The following is a 15,884-nucleotide window of genomic DNA, read 5'->3' as shown; positions in this document are numbered from 1 at the left end:
GATTTCAGAATATAGCACTGGGGCCCTTGGTCAATCACTCAAATACCTGAGAGGCACGTGTTCATGGCAAGCACACATGGTCCGTTTTGCACTTTTTTTTTGGAATTTTATTTAGCATGTACAAATTTTATTTAAAAATGAAAAACTTATATAAGCATATTATCTGAAATATGGAGATAACTACCAGAAGAAAATGTTAAAAATAGTTACTTTTGTAGAGTAAGGCTCAGTTTGAAAAGGGTGAGAGATGTGACTCTTGCTTTTTATCATTACCCCTTTAGTATTACTTTTTTTCTTAATCCATGTGAATTTATTACTATGATAATTTTCTATTAAGAAAAAGAGAGTCAGAAAGGGGAGTTGGGAGAAAATAGTAGGAATGAGGAAATAATAAGCTCAATTCTGAAAATAAGCTAATAACATTTCTTGAATACTTTATGATCACTAATCATCAAAACATTTCTAAGAGTTAGGAAATATTATTGCCATTTCACAGGTAATGAAACTGAGAGTTAGGATTAAGTCTTAGGCTAAGGATTTTGCTAAAGACTACATGCCAAATAAGTGGCAGAGTCAGGATTTGAACTCAGGTCTAGGTCTATGCTGTTTCCACAAGTAAATGGAGAAGAGGCGTCTGACAGATGAGGGCCATGTTGGGGTGAGTCATCTCGTGATCCTTGGCCCATAGGCCAGCCTAAACAATGCCTTCGCCCAAGGGAATTGCCAAGTTGTTGAAGGGGCCAGTGTTAGTCATTGTTTAATTACATTATACATATTTAGCCTTTTAAATCTTTTCTGAGAAATCATTTATTTCTACTTTGTTAATTATTCTTGAATATCTTCTTATAATAAAAATGTGTAGAGGAGGAAGCCTGTGGCCGAGAGCTGGGACCTGTCTGGGAAAGGACTGGAAGCTGGATGAAGTCAGCAGCCTGTTTTTGTTGGAGGTGGACAGAGCACGGACTCTCCAGCCTCGTGCAGACGCCCTGCCTAGAGGTCAAGCTGGCGGCTCCCTCTGTTTATCCTATGGCCTGGAAAGCACTCTTTGTAGACAAGTGTTATCTTTTCTGATAAACATATCAGTTTTCTGTCTCAGCTCAGTGGAAATGATCCCTGGATTTGTGATATGAGCTTTAATAATATTTTCTGTTTCTATGGTGCCTTTTCCTGGGTTGGCTTAGACAATAGAGGAAAAGTCAGAGGGAACCAGTGTTCATGAAACTGTAGCCTTTGGCCTCGGGATGAGTGAGATAGGAGTGAGATACGCTATTCCACAGTAATGGATGGGCAGATGACTGCCAAGCAGGCCAGTCTTATGGCTGAGGAAGCACTGCAAAGGGAGAATGAGGAGTAAGTATCCTGGGTAAATCGACGAGGGCTTGACAGAGACCACCCATTTCAGCTCAGCTCCACGACTAACTGCTGCAAAATCCCGGGCACCTCTGAGCTAGAGGTTCATAGTTATAGTGTCCCTCTATTAGAATAAATAATTATCATCTAATGATAGGAGAGAAAAGTAAACTGTGGTAGAATCATAATATTCTTGTGAGAATTAAATAAAATAAGCAAATTAAGTACATAGCAGAGTGCCTGGTGAGCATTCAATACATGTTAGCTCTTACTATTCAGAAACCTCCTATGGTACCTTAGAGGATGAATTTATGTCTACAGGACTTTTGAAATACAAAAGTTTGAATCTGTATGCAGTTAGATCCATTTGTCTTTTCTTCCTTGACTTTTATGCTTCTCTTCCCCTGTAAGTATACTTTTTTACGTTTGCTTTTTCACTCTTCTGGAATGTAGAGCAGGTCCTTTACTTCAACACTGTTTCATTTATAACACTGATAAGAAAAAAAAAATTGATTCCCCACCAGGCCACTGTTTGTGTAGAGCTGGCATGTTCTCCCCATGTCTGTGTGGGTTTTCACCAGGTAATCCAGTTTCCTTCCACACCCCAGAGATATGCATGTTGGATGAATCGGTGTGTCTAAATGGGCCCAGTCTGAGTGAGTGCTGGTGGGTGTGAGTGCACCTGTGATGGAATGGCGTCCTGTCCGGGGCTGGTTCTTGCTTTGTGCCATGTGCTGCTGGGATAGTCTCCAGCCTCCTGCAACCCTGAATGGAAATAAGCAGGTTGAAAAATGAATGGATGAATGAATATAAATTATTATAAAATAAAAATTCATAAAGTCTATAATAATCACACAAATGCATGACAATAAACAATGTGGAATGAAAGTGCTCTGCGAGCCCACCTTGTTTATTATTGTTTATTTTTGAACTGCGTGGTGGTAAGAGGTGCTCCTTACAATTTTTGTTTTGCAAACATTTCCTGATTTAACCCACCAGCACTAGGACCATCACTCATTGATTCACTAAAAATTGGATAAATAATTCTTGTTTTCATTAATCTTTCTTAAACATATGTATAGCTCCAATTTATTTCAATGTTTAGTATTAGAAGTGTTTTGGGTCTTTATTTAGAAGTTTATTTAGATGTTTTTGTAGCCAGAAATATGTTGTAGAAACCTAATTCTTGTTTATATTAATTAGCCTATGATAAAATTGATTTTGTTATACATTGCTTCACTTAAAGTCTCAGTTTCCAAGAACCTATCAACAATGTTAATTGAAGACCATATAATCCAGTATATGGTATGATATAAGGAGATAATTTAAATTATAATTTTTTTCCAAATAAAAACTTTTTCCAAAGATATTTAATGATTTGAGAATACTTTTCCTTAAACTGATTCTTACATATATTTGAGTCTACATATTTTGAAAGAATTTCTATTCCTAATATTTATCAATAATTTTAAATTAATTATTTTCCACACTAAGGATTTCTGTTTACTATTTTACATTTAAAATCCTGCTCAAATTATCACTGCTTCTAGAATGGATTTCATATATTGCTGGCAAAAGAATAATATAGACAACTTTCAGGAAAGTAATTTGGTTGGAAAATGTTTATGCATCAAATAATAGTTTCACTTCTGGCAATTTTTCCTGAAGAAAAATAAGCAAATCAGAAAATATTTATATATATGTATGTATTTCTATGTATTTATGTATAAAGCTGTGCTGCTATCTTCTGTAAAAGCAAAAAGTTCCAAAGTATTCTTAGACGGTATTGTTATGCAAATTATATTACATTTATAGATTACTATAAGATCTTTGAAACTTAAAAAATTAATAACATAGAAAATGCATTTTCATACTAAGTGGAAATACAGCATGAAAATTTTTATGTGTAATATTATCTCAATTATATTTTTAATTTCCTTGAACAAGCTCTTTCCAGCCTCAGGGAGTTTGCATTTTCTGGTTCATCTCCTTAGAAAGAATTTCACCTGTTCTTTGTAAGAGTGGCTCTTTTTCATTCTTCGGGTCTTGGCTTAAATGCATCATTTCAGGGAAGCTTTTTAAAACTATCCTATTAAAAGTAGATCAGATCCCCTCCCCAACTAGTCTCAGTAGTGAAGCACCTAATTATCCTTTGGGTGAATTCTGCCGCTCCATTTGGAAGGTGTCTTAGTCTGGTTAGTGCTACTATAACAGAATACTTGAGGCTGGGTAATTTATAAAAAGCAGAAATGTATTTTTCACAGTTCTGAAGGCTGGGAGGTCACAGATCAAGGTGCTGGCAGGTTTGATACTTGGTGAGGACTACTCCGTCTGCTTCCAGGATGAGCGCCTTGAATGCTGCATGTTTCAGAGGAGGGAATGCTCTTCCTCATGTGGCAGAAGAGCTTGGGAGTGAGCCCACTCCAGAAAGCCCTTTTTATAGTGGCATTAATCCACTCATGAGGGCAGAGCCCTAATGACCTAAACACCTTCCATTAGGCCCCATCTCCCAACACTGTTGCATTGGAGATTAAGTTTCAATATGAGTTTTGGAGTGGACAAAAACCTTGAAACCACAACAGAAGGTTTGATTCTAGAGGTCTAGGATCATACTTTTTGTATTTTATCTCCAACGTGCCCATTCCTGTAATCTGAAGGTAAGGAATATGCAATGAATATTACTGACTATATTTCCCAAATCATATTTCCATTTCCTAAGAATTTTTCGCTACATGATATGTTCTTAAAATAAGCATCTCAGTGTGTAAGCATTATTACAAGGACGAACTATGCAAATGATTAACTTGTTGATGATAAAACTTAAGGCAGATGTGGAATATGAAATAGTAATGTATTTCCAGGTATGTGGGTTAACCAGGATCCCCTCTTCCACTTGGTTCTTTTAAATTCACTTCGGAAAGTGGATGAGACTCTGGAGAGGATAAAGTCAGGCTGGGAATCAGAGCAAGATGCACATTGTCTTCTAGGTAGATGAGATCTTGGATAATTGGAACCAGGTGTGTAGGAGAGGGGCCCCAGGGCTTTGAAGGTGAAATCAAGCCTATTTTCCTACAATTATAAATAGCATGTGTCCTTCAGTGTTAGAGCTCTCTGGGCCTCAAATCTGACAGTAATCTTCAGTTCCTCCCTTCAAATACCTCTCATCCCCCCTGCTGTTTCCTACCACTCATTTCCCATGGCCTTTGTTCTTCCTGCTGCTGAAAAGGACTCCCCCAATCCCTTCTCCAACCCCAGAATCAATCAGGTGAATCTCCAGCCATGAAACCCAGTATCAAGGATTCTTGAAGTGGAGCTGCAAATGGGCAAAGCAATGGAGTCCGGGCCCTCTGTGAGGATGGGGTTTCTCCATAACAGTCCTGGTGTATCACAAAATCATAGCAGTCAACCCCCAGCACACATCATAGTGATTGTGAAGCTCCTAGCACAATGCCTCGCTTACTGTAGTTCGCAAAAATCACACAAGGGCTGTTATCACAGCAACGCTTGGCATTTACAAGTTAAATACTTGCAGTTTTGACAATTCTTGACCAACCTTCAGAACCCATGAAATGTCAACCTTTCACTTTCTGAAGACCCAAATTTGAATTTCCTGTTTGTGCAGGTAATGGGTGAGGACTAGTGACAGAGCTGGATCAACTGCTCAGCATCCAGGTTCCAAAGAAACCTTGTATATTTCCTCATATCACATGGGCAGAAGCTCTCCATAGGGGGCATAAGGGATTCCTTCATGTTTTCACTTACACCCCCCTGTAATTTGTGGGGGAAATTATATGTTCTAGAGTTCTGTACAAAATAGGAGATCCATGAGGGACAAATCCTTGTTGATTTTCATGAGTCTGTTGTAGTTCTTGCATTCTAACTCTTCCCCTAGAGTTTTAAGATGAAGCAAGATGAGTTCCAGGATCTCACCAGACAAGGCTTATTTAGTGTCTTTAGGCTGCTCAAGGGTCAGTACAGGGGATTAGGAGAGTGTCTATTTCACAGACCTTAGCCACAGAGATAGGTAATGTGTGACATGCCCTCGAACTGCATCCACAGGGTCACCTTCTGTAACCCAAAGGGAAGGAAGCTCCTGTTGCAGCCTGTGCAGGGGTCAGTTGTAGGCAGTCCAGGTCAGGCCTCCAAGGGCCCTGCTTCCCTTCCCCTCTTCACAAGCCCATGTGGGGTGGTTAATGCACGGCTGCCTCCCCTGTGGAGAATTAATTGGAAATGCTACACCTCAAGAGGAAAAACAAGAGTAATGGAAAAGGCATCTGTGTGTGACCAAAGCCTTAACTGAAAACAGGCTTTCTCTTTTCCCAGTCTGGGAACAAGAGAGGAGAAGCAGTCAGGGAGAGAGCAAGTGCAGATGCTTATCTGGGGATGGAATGATGTAGGATGTGTGCGTGTGTGTGTGTATGTGTGTGTGCACGAATGTGTGTGTGTGTGTGTGTGTAGAGGCACTGGCATGTGTGAAGGAATTGGGAGGTTTGGGGGAGTTGGGGTTGGAAGGCAAGGTTGGTGTGAAGAATGGGGAATGAAACAAGGCTGTGGTGGGCAGTTGAGGAGAGGAGGGAGATTCTTCTGGGGTTGAGGAAGAATGAGTGATGAAGGTGGATTTTTTTGGGGAGTAACAGGTTTTATCTAGTTCTGTCTAGTTTTATCTAGACATTTATCTGAGATCACTAGATAAAAACCTAGTTGCCCTCCAAGGAAATTGGGGGCTTTTGATTAATTAATGACTTAAGTAATTCAACAAATATGTATTCTGTACTGGTCTAATTGTATTTCCTACTCTCTTTTCTAAACTCATTCCTATCCAGATGAGGCCACCCCTTCCTCTGCTCCCTCCTGTGCTTCTCTTGGCTGCTCTTCTATTTACCCCTGCCATGCTGACCTTATTTTTTAAATAAATAACCATTTTCCTCATACCAAACGTATGGGGACCGTACATCCAAATAGCAGAAACAGAGACTCCTGGTTTGGTATGTCTCTAAGCCCAGTTTATTGTTTTCAAACACATTAATTCATTACACATACAGAGCTCATCTTGGCTCAATAATTGTGCCAGGCCCTGGAAATAAATCGAGACATAGTCACTTTCTTCTAGACTAGCAAGAGAAATAAATGAGTAATTGGGACAAAGGTGAAAAAGGAATCATGAAATTCTAGAAGCAGAGCATCGGACCCAGCCTTGGGAGTGGCGAACCCTTCTTGGAGATAATATTTGAACTGATTCTTGAAGGGTGAGTGAAAATATTCGGCCAAGAAGAGGAAGAGGGGAACTAGGAGACAAACTTGGTTCACACCCTTCTTCTGCTTCTTCCAAATTGGGGGAGCCTCAATTTGGTCACCTATGTAATGTCTCTAGGAACACCCACTCCACTGGGCAGCTATGAAGATTATAAAACAACAAAACTACAAGTGCTATGTGTAGCTGAGCCTTCTGTTTTCTCAATCTCAGTGGCATTCATCTACACCCTCTTCTCCTTCAGCACCCACCTGGGTGACCACACTGCAAACCTCTCAGCCCTCAGCTGCTCAATCTCTGGGATCTCAAATCATGAAAGTCCTCTATGCCTTAAGCTCTTTTCTTTCCACCTCCCTCCCACTCATGCCAGTGCTGGATTGGTTTTGTGCCACTTTGTGAGCTTTAGTCCATTGATCTTCCCCCAGCCCCAACTCAGTCTCTTTTTCTATGACTTTATTCTCCTTCCTTGCTATGTGAGTCCTCATGGTCAACCAGTAAATGGTTCTCTCTGGCCTCCCCAACACCCTTGCCTCTTGGCTTCCACTATGTATCTCCCCAACCTGGTCTCAACCACACTGTCTTTTCCAGATTCCTGTTCCTGGCACTTGAGTATGCTGGAGGAAGCCCAGACTGTTTAATTCCACTACATTTGGATACTTTCCAGTCACTACTGGGCGCTTGCTACTTCTTAGACATCTTTTTATTTATCTCTGTTGAAATAAGTCAATGTTTGTAAAGGTCCTAGTGCTTAGTCTGAAACATAGTAGGAGCCCAATATGTTCACTTCCCTTTTCTGATTTGTTATCACATTCCCAAGAGTGCCCAGTCCAAGCATTTCCATTCTTACAACATTTCTGATTTCCTTCAGCTCTGAGCTTTGGCCATTAGCTCAAGCTTGTTTTGCCTTCCTGATTCTCAGCTTACATGTAGTGATTGACAGCACATACCCTCAATCAGCTAGCTGGGTCTAGTCATTTCTCAGCCTCAGTTTCCTCTTCTGTAAAATGAAAATTATAATAGCGATGATAAAAGTACTTATGTCACAGGGCTGTTCAGAGGATTAAGTGAGATAATGTTTGTTAATGGGTAAGTTTAAGATATTTTACATGGTACACCCAATAAATGTAACTTGCTGTGATGATGATGATAATTTTTTAATGCATTCTTTTTCAGCCTCCCTGTCTCAGAGACATAGAGTTCTTCCTCCTTGCCAAGAACAAACTTGTGCTTCACATTCTATCCTCTCCAGATCCTTAAAAGACCTTCCTCTACAACTAACCTCTCTTGCTTCTTCAATCTCTATCTTCCCATTGGCTTCTACTTCTGAATCTATAAACATAAGTCTTCTCTATCCTTAAAACAACTAACATATTAAAAATCATGTATCAGCTCTGCTATCTCCTCTAACTTTCTATAACTTTCTATATGTAGAACGTACATTCTACATTCTCCCCTCACAACTCATCCTTAATTCCTTGAAAACTGGCTTCCACTCTCAGCAGTCCGCAAAGCCACAAATAGCTTTCTCAAATATCACTGACCTTTTCTCAACCTTATTCTCCTCAAATGGTCTCTGCAGCATCCTTTGATGCTGGTCACCCTGTCTTTAAGAAACCCTCCTCTCTCCTGAGTGTACTTCCTTTCTTCTGCTACCCATTTCAATTTCCTTGTCTGGCTCCTCTTCTTCTTCTACATACTTGAATGTATATGTTTCTAAGAATATGACCCCAGTCCTCTTCTTTTCTTGCTTTACATGGTTTCCCTGGACAAACTTTGACAATCACCTCCCTGATTAATTCTGCTCCTAGGCACATGCCCAAGGGAAACTCTTACATATATGTCCCAGGAGACATAGGAAAAAATGTCCATAGCTCACTGTTCAGAATTGCAAAAAATTGGAAACAACTCATATAACCAATGACAAGAGACAAATAAATTGTATATATTAATGCAATGGAATATTATGCAGTAGTGAAAATTAGTGATATTCAGCTACACTGAACATGGATAAATCTTAGTGACATAATGTAGAGTGACAAAAGCAAGTTCCAGCGGACATTATAGTGTAACCTCTTTATAAAGTTCAAAAACAAGAAAAATCAACTTACTTTTTATACAAGAATATATTGTAATAAAGCAGAAAGCAAAGCAAAGGAATGATAGACACAGAATTCCAAATCATGGTTGGTTCCTCTGAGGTGAAGGGCTGTGATATGAATGAGGACTGTGTAGATGTGAGTTATTGGTAATGGTTAGTTCTTGCGCTATAGGTTGGTTCATAGTGTTCCTCATATTATTAAAGATGAAATAAAATAAATAAAACAGGATCATGCATGGATCATTAATGAAGAAAATCTCATTCTAATCTCTCTCTAAACTCTATTTCTGTTTTTCTAACTGCCTATTGCCATCTTCACTTGAATATTTCATTCGCTCTTGACTCTCAAAATGAGAAAAACTGACTTTACCTTTGTCTTCAAATTTGCTCAGTCTCCTTAATCCCAAATGTTTATAAATAACCACCTCCTCTAAGGTGGTTTGGCCTATGGCTAGAATTCTAAAAGACCCTTCATTTTCCCCCTAAATTCAGCTTTTTGCTACATCTCACTTTAATTCCCAAGCAGATGCATCTAGGACGAAGCAGAGCCAGAATTTTGACCCATATTGTTTGTTGCCACAGCTATGTTTTAATCACCTCTGTACAGGTGATACTGGATCAAAGCAGCCCCCGGGGGATGACCTCGGGCATTGAGGCCTGAGGGTTTATCTCCCCTTCCCCACAGGGAAACTGAGGCCCCAATATGTTCTTTCCATAGACCCTACTTTCTATTGAGCTCTTGCCTCTCCAAATGCAGGCTGCTGAGCACCCATCCCCACCCCCTGAAGTCCTGCCCAGTGTTCTGTCTTTGGCAAAATTTGCCAGGCCTGCTGGATAGCTCTTAGGGGCACTCTGTAGAAAGGAGAGGTATACTAGGCTCAGTGTTGGGGGAATAAACAGCTCTTGTGAGCAGTTAGGATCAAGGTGAATCCAGCCAGATGGAGTCCCTGGATGTTTCTTTTCTTGGGTTCTGCCAAGCAGCAATCACAAAGAGCAACCACGCAGTACAGCTTCAATGAGTTCCTACAGGAGGAATGGGGAGAATAGGCTTGGGCTAGGAGGGAGAGAGGAAACCTTAAGCACAAAACGTGTTTAAAAGCCTCAACAGCCACTTCTTTGCCTGGAGAAGTGATTATTCCTAATAAGGACATAGCAGTTCCTGTTTACAATTGCTCCAAACATCCCTCACACCACAAACCATTGCAAAATACATGCCAAGGCCCAGCAGCCTTTTCTGTTTAAAACTTCTCTGCCTTTACAGCTGGTTAGGTCCACAGCCTTGCTGGTTTCTGGCCTCTGTTCCCTTATAGAATAGGCACATTCTTTACACCTCTCTTAGACCAGGTTCTCTGCTGGATGAGATGGAAAGCATCTTGCAAGCAGGAGTACTCTCTTTTCCTTCTTTTGTGTTTTCCCGCATGTCTCCCATTACAGGCTGAAGCACATAAACAGTGGACTCTGTGGACTGACTGGTGAGATCGTTAGCATTTATTCAGATGTCAGGTAACCAAAGACAGAAATTCTTCAACATGCAAGGCACGCAATTCTTAAGGATGGCCTCTAAAGGGAAATTACACAATTCAAATCCAAGTGCTTCATATTTCTGTGAGAAATGTTTCCTGGCTGGTTCTGTCACGCATTCGGAGGTAGAGTCAGCATAGATGAGAGATTTCAGCTATAGAAAGGAGAAAAAAGTATTCTTTCTCTAGCAGTTGGGGAAACCTTGCTTATTTCTGAATCACTGAACAAACATTTTTAAAGGATCTACCAATATAAAATAATACTATTTCTATAACAGTTGTTTTCAGATAACTGGATTCTTGACTACTACTCCCTTCTTTTCCCTTCCCCTTCTTCTCATCCTCTTTATCTCCTTCAAAGTGATCGAGCTCCAACCCTAAAGACTAGGGATGTTTAAAAGTACCTTTGATTACACTGAAGAACAGGAAGCTGTTCCAGCATCCTCTGTGATAGAAGCTTGGGCTCTGGAGTCAGCCAGGCCTAGTGATGCCAGCTCTGCAGCTAATTAGCTCTGGGACCTTGGGCAAGGTATCAGAATTTTTTATCTCCAGTCTAGAAATTAAAGTAGTTACCTCACAGAGTGAGGATTAAATGATACTGTATGTTAACTGCTTAGCATATTTAGCATTACAATGATCAATGAATGATGGCTATTTTTTATTAATGCCATTGCCTAATCTAACAAGAACTTGTCTAGAAACCTTATCCATCTGGAACTCAGTCAAAAACTAGACAGGAAATCAAAAGAACAAAGGTGTCTGAGCAGCTAAAACTAGTGCCTGTGAGTTAAAACAAAGATACTTTTTTTGGCCGGGTGCAGTGGCTCACGCCTATAATCCCAGCACTTTGGGAGGCCGAGGATGGTGGATCACTTTAAGTCAGAGTTCAAGACCAGCCTGGCCAACATGATGAAACCCCCTCTCTACTAAAAATACAAAAATTAGCCATGCGTGGTGGTGCACACCTGTAATCCCAGCTATTCAGGAGACTGAGGCATGAGAATCGCTTGAACCCGGGAGGCGGAGGTTAGAGTGAGCTGAGATTGCGCCACTGCATTCTAGCCTGTGCAACAGAGTGAGACTCCATCTCAAACAAACAAACAAACAAACACAAAACACTTTATTGACCATATGTGATCCTTATTTGGAGCCTATATAATATGGTATATAGAACTAGATCAAACTCACAGCAGGTGAAGAGGCAGCAAATTAAATAGGGAAGCACCCTGAGAGCATTAATGAGTGAGAGCTGAGTTCTGATGATTGGTAACCAGCACTACAAAAATAAGGGTGTTTAGAATAGGACAATTTATTGAATGTCCACCGGGTGATGAATACCCAGTTTGAGTGTATTGGGCATATTGTTTAATTTAATCCTCACAACAATCCTCTGCAGTATGTATTTTTAATCCCTGATATTATAAAGGTAGATACAGAGTTTAAGAAATGTTTCACAGAGTTTAAGAAATGCGTCCCAAAGCTGGGAAGGGGATTTGACCTCAGAGTCAGCCTGGATTTAAAGCCTCCATATTTCTGTTGCTGCATAGTCTCTCCTATATGGCTTTACATAGATCTCCCCTCCTTCTTCTCTTCCCCTCCCTTCCCTTCCTTTCCCTTCCCTTCCCTGCCCTGCCCCGGCCTGCTCTGGCCTACCTTGCCTTGCTCTCCCCTCCCCTCCCCTCCCCTCCCCTCCCTTCTCCTCCCCTCTCCTTCCTTCCTTCCTTCCTTCCCCTACTTACCTACTTGATAACTGAAACAGAAAATTTTAACTTTTTATTTTGAATAATTTTAGATTCATGAGAGGCTGCAGAAATAATTCCTATATACCCTTCTACAGCTTTCCCTAATTATACAATCTTACATAAGTAAAGTTTATTATCAAGGTGAGGAAATTAACATTGGTATAGTGCTATTAACTAGACTACAGCCCTTATTTGGATCACCAGTTTCTGCATGCACTCACTTCTCATGGAACTTATAGTCTAGTATTTCTCTTATTATAGCAGAGTTTGTAATGAGCAGTCCTCAAGTGAAATTCACCTTTAAGAAGTTAAGAAAAATATATATAACTTTGGGAGAGATTTTATTCCAAATTATTGAAATAAAAAAGTTTTGTCACTTAACAAGATAAACCCTTTGTTATCTGGAACATTTATCTCCTCAAAATAATGAATATTCCAAAGCATTCTAGATGGCCAGAGGGGATAGTGTATGATTTCTTTTCAGAAAATGATGAGATTGAACTCAAGATGGATTAAAGTCTAAAGGTAAAACCCAAAATATTAAAACCCTGGAAGACAACCTAGGCAATAACATCCTGGACATAAGAATTAGCAAGATTTCATGACAAAGACACCAAAAGCAGTCACGACAAAAGTAAAAATTAACAAATGGGTTATAATTAAACTTAAGAGCTTCTGCGCAGCAAAGGAAACTATGAAGAGAGTAAACAGACAACCTACAGAACGGGAGAAAATATTTGCAAACTACACATCCGACAAAGGTCTAATATACAGCATCTATAAGAAACTTAAACAAATTTACAAGAGAAAAACAACCCCATTGAAAATGTGGGCAAGGACATGAACAGACACTTTCCAAAAGAAGACATACATGCAGCCAAGAAGCATACGAATAAAAAGCTCTATATCACTGATCATTAGAGAAATGCAAATCAAAACCGCAATGAGATACCATCTCATACCAGTCAGGATGGCTATTATTAAAAAGTCAAAAAAAAAAAAAAAAAAAACAGATGCTGTCGAGGTTGCTGAGAAAAGGGAACAGGTATACACTGTTGGTGGGAGTGTAAATTAGTTCAATCATTGTGGAGAGCAGTAAGGCGATTCCTCAAAGAGCTAAAAGCAGAACTACCATTTGACTCAGCAATCCTGTTACTGGGTATATACCCAGAGGACCATAAATCATTCTATAATAAAGACACATGCACAGGAATGTTCATTGCAGCACTATTTACAATAGCAAATACATGGAATCAACCTAAATGCCCATCAATGACAGATTACATAAAGAAAATGTGGTACATATACTTCATAGAATACTACGCAGCCATAAAAAAGAACAAGATCATGTCTTTTGCAGGAACGTGGATGGAGCTGGAGGCTATTATCCTTAGCAAACTAACACAGGAACAGATGTATGTTCTGTTCAAACTTACAAGTGGGAGCTAAATTATGAGAACTCATAAACACAAAGAAGGGAACAATAGACACTCAGGTCTACTTGAGGGTAGAGGATGGGAGAGGGAGAGGAGCAGATAAAAATAATTATTGGATATTGGGCTTAATACCTGGGTAATGAAATAATCTGTATAACGAACCCCTGTAACGTGAGTTTACCTATAACAACAAACCTTCACATGTATCCCCAAACCTTAAATAAAAGTTAAAAAAAGAAAATGATGAGATTGTCCAAATGCTTAGTGATATGAAAATCTCATAAGGAATCTGGTCCACTGGACATAATGGCTCACACCTGTAATCCTAGCAACTCCGAAGGCTGAGGTAGGAGGATTGCTTGAGCCCAAAAATTCAAGACCAGCCTGGATAACATCATGAGGTCCCCATCTCTAAAATAAAATTTAAAAAAACAAAAAACAAAAAACACAAAACAAAATAGTCAATTATGGTGGCACAGGCCTGTAGTCCCAGGTACTTGGGAGGCTCAGATGGGAGCATCACTTTAGCCCAGGAGTTTGAGGCTGCAGTGATTCATGATCGCATCACTGCACTCTAGCCGAGGTGACAGAGCAAGATTCTATCTCAAAAAAAAAAAAAAAAAAAAAAAAGGGAGAATCTGGTCCATGCTCAAGGTGTCCACGTTTAGCCGTGGAGGGGGTGTCCCACCACATTGTTCTTCACTTTCCCGAACGCATCAGGATGCCATATTACACAGTGTGGGTGGAATATTTGTAAGTTTGGCTATCTTCTCAATTCATTCCATGTGTGCCATAGAATTTAAGTGCTATAGTCAGGCGTTTCTGAATACAGTTTTCCATATGTAGATTTACCACTACCCACTGAAGCACACACATCTGATCCAGTTTATTGGGGTGTGAGATTACTTTTTTCTTTCATTTTGAACATATTTACAGTGATTAGAAATTAGACAGAGAGATGTGCTAGTTCTGATGTAGGCGAACTCAGGCCGGAGAGCCAGTTGTCTCTGCTGGTCTCTGATGGGCACACCCGCCAGAACTTAACCTCCTCGTGAAGGGCTTTCATAATCTCTCATCCCATTCTGCTTTTCTTTTTGCTGCTGGTATATGAACTTTCCAGGCAGCCATTTTTTTCCTCCTAAAATGTACCAAGAAAGGCCTCCCTCTTCCCATTTAACAGGGTTATCCCACCAGACTTAGTAGGTAGGCTCCGAAGACCCCGTTATCTTCACATTCAACTGCCTTTCTCCTTTTGCACTCTCCATTTTTGCTGTATCCTCACCATCCTCTGGGACGCTGAGACTTGAAACTTGAATGGGTCCTTAATGTTGCCTTTTCTTTTGCCCCTCACGTCTGCTCAGGGTTGAGTGCTGTCTGTCCCATCTCTTCCTCATGTCTCCTTCTGTCCTGTTGTTTCCTTTGGCACTCTCTTGAATCTAGGGCAGACAGGAGGGAAGCTGGTCATTCTTTGCCAGACTGCGAACTGTGAGGCTGGGGACTGAAATGTTCTCCACCACTGTGGCTCTGAGACAATGGCTGTGTCACGCTTGACAGGCCCTCAGTGAAGTTCTACTGAATGGTTAACTCGGATGCTGAGTATCATGACTGGGGACTCACTGTCCAGGCAGAGCTCTGCTCGTCTCAGGCTGAGCTCCAAGGCAGCAGAGGAGGGAGGACAGTGGGGAGGCCTGGGGAAGGTGGGCCTCCTTGCACTGCCACTTCCTACCACTTGCTTAAGCCACTGCTCCCTGCCCTGCAGCTGCCTCTTGTTCTCCTCTTACCTCAAACCTCATATCCATACCTTGGAAGAGGTGAGCCTATTGTCTGGGACTAGGAAGTCATGGATCCAGACTTCCTGTTACTTATCTCAGCAACGTGCAGTCACTTCCCATTCAACAATCACGCATTGAGCTTAGGCACACTGCAATTCTTCTTCCATCAGAATCTCTTACCTTCTCTATTGCTCACTTGCTCTGGACTCATTGTGTTCATATAGGATAGTTCTATACAAACATTATGTATGTGTGTATGTGTGCATATCAGGATTGCTTTGAAACTCACCCACTCCACCCATTACACAATTTCACCTACGCGTGAATCAACTCAGAGACCAAAGTGGTGGCTCTCAGTTTTCAGGGACAATTTCAGACAGGGCCTTAACAGACAGTATGGGACATCCCACATTTCCTGCCTCGTGCCTCACCCTGAGATCAATCAGATCATTGCAAGTCTATTTCACAGAATGAAATACTTGAGCTGCATTGTGGTAGATTTTCATTGCCAGGTACTTCTTTTGAACTTCAAAAGTTGTCTCTAACACCCTGGAATTTATGTCTTATCTGCTTAAGAAGATAATCAGGCCACAGTCACACACTTTGCAGAAATACACATTGAACATGCATCTGGGGTATTTGTAAAATATGCTTGGGAGCCTGCAGACAGATGAAGTTTTGTCACTGTCAGGTATTAAAGGGTCACAGAATCAAA

The 15,884-nt window shown here is 40.6% G+C and overlaps 1 long non-coding RNA gene across 3 annotated transcripts in view; it reads right to left on the bottom strand.

Annotated features, from left to right (window-relative positions):
• Positions 1 to 790: 790 nt before the first annotated feature.
• NEPRO-AS1 (NEPRO antisense RNA 1) overlaps positions 791 to 15,884 on the bottom strand; it is a 164,860-nt gene continuing 149,766 nt past the window's right edge. For all 3 annotated transcript variants that reach the window (NR_186661.1, NR_186663.1, NR_186662.1), the window contains one exon: positions 791 to 2,115. This is a non-coding gene — a long non-coding RNA (NEPRO antisense RNA 1). The remainder of the gene's footprint in view (positions 2,116 to 15,884) is intronic.

This window comes from Homo sapiens, chromosome 3, assembly GCF_000001405.40.
Source record: "Homo sapiens chromosome 3, GRCh38.p14 Primary Assembly".
In the NCBI taxonomy this organism is placed as follows: domain Eukaryota; kingdom Metazoa; phylum Chordata; class Mammalia; order Primates; family Hominidae; genus Homo; species Homo sapiens.
Note: the sequence above shows the minus strand (reverse complement) of the source record. Positions and strands in the feature narration are given on the sequence as shown.